The 1,381-nt window shown below is 49.7% G+C and overlaps 1 protein-coding gene across 7 annotated transcripts in view, besides 1 other annotated feature; it reads right to left on the bottom strand.

The window, feature by feature from the left end:
- The window catches only part of IGF1R (insulin like growth factor 1 receptor), a 315,992-nt gene that overhangs the window by 110,598 nt on the left and 204,013 nt on the right, over positions 1-1,381 (bottom strand). The window lies entirely within an intron of this gene.
- Positions 1,120-1,169: an enhancer, noted in NCBI's record as "active region_10141". NCBI's record gives its function as "activates an Ori minimal core promoter by ATAC-STARR-seq in GM12878 lymphoblastoid cells {active_cell/tissue: GM12878}" and the evidence as "EXISTENCE:reporter gene assay evidence [ECO:0000049][PMID:35858748]".

Genomic DNA, 1,381 nt, shown 5'->3' with positions numbered 1-1,381 from the left:
GAGGCAGGACTTTTCCTGGGATTTAAGTAGGTCTGGAGGCTGCTCTGGCACATCCTGGCCACCCAGGCCACGCCTTACATTTCTATTTGCAATGCACCTTCCCCTCCTCCTCCACTCCCCGCACTTCTCCCCAAGTGCCCCATCACTGAAAAAGTTCAGGGGCCGCAGGGGCTGAGACGGGGCGCAGGGCACCGACCCTTTCAAGCGGCCACGGCTTTGCAACATGTTCCTGAAATTCCTACAAACCAAAAAGCAATTCAGAATCGCAGGAGGGAGGCTTATCCTCCACTCCGCAAACCAGACCCTCAAGATCATCTTTTTTATGCTGAAAAGGCTTTTCACAAAATATTCCAAACCATCTTCATAGATTATTTTTCCTTTCTCTTAAAAAACTAAGCAAGACTGGATGTCATTTAGAATACCGACTTCTAAAAAAGGGCATTTTTGAACTGAATGCCACATGCTGTATTTTGCCATTTTGCCTGCGCTTCCTGCTTGGAGCCTGTGACACAGAGAAGCCTCAGACACTGGAGCTGCTCCGGGCCACGCAAACTCCGCTCCGCATCTTCCAGGCAGCCCTGTCGCAAATAATTCATGTCCACTACGCCCCTATCACACTGAATACAACCACATTGTACTGCTGGAAATGGGAAACCTGATTCAGATCACAGGAGAAGGTAGAAAAACATTTGGTTCAACACAATACTGCCCCCCTTCTTTTTTTTAAAGGGAGGAAACATATTTCAAACCTAGGAATAGGGAAAGGATTCAAGACCCATCGTGGAATAAAACACAGAATTTAAAATAGCATCCGATGTGACCCAAACCAGCAACAATAACGAGAAAACCACCCAGTCCTTCCAGAGATGCACCTTGTTTCTGCTGCAGTGTTGCTAATCAAAATCGATCTGCCCATCCAAGCAATTTAAAGAGGAAGGGCGGCATTTGTAGAAAATGGTACATGTTGATAAAGCATGACCTGTCCCACATGGAGAGCAATAAAAGGAAAACAAGCCTGAGAACAGTATGCTGTGCTCACCAGGAGATGGAAGAGAAGAAAGCCAGAATAAGGGCAGGGATGCCGGGGGAAGGGAGGACGGGGTGTCAAAGGCCTGCAGGATTTTTGTAAACAGCAGCCCGTAATGGCCACGGTGAGAGAGAAGGGAAAACAGACATGGAGGGAAACGTGTTTACAACTGCAGCGACGGCGGGAGGCGGAGGGAGGGATTCCCCGACTCTGCACTCTGCGCTCGGCCCGCTTCGCTCCGGTGGGGCCCCGGGGCTGGGATGTGTTTTGGCTCCTCCACCCTCCACCCGCTTTCTTAGTGGGGGGAACACATCTTGTTTATGGGGAAGGTTACTCCTCCTCTGCTCTGGTGAT

This window comes from Homo sapiens, chromosome 15 (genome assembly GCF_000001405.40).
Source record: "Homo sapiens chromosome 15, GRCh38.p14 Primary Assembly".
In the NCBI taxonomy this organism is placed as follows: Eukaryota; Metazoa; Chordata; class Mammalia; order Primates; family Hominidae; genus Homo; species Homo sapiens.
This window is presented reverse-complemented; position numbering and strand designations above follow the sequence as displayed.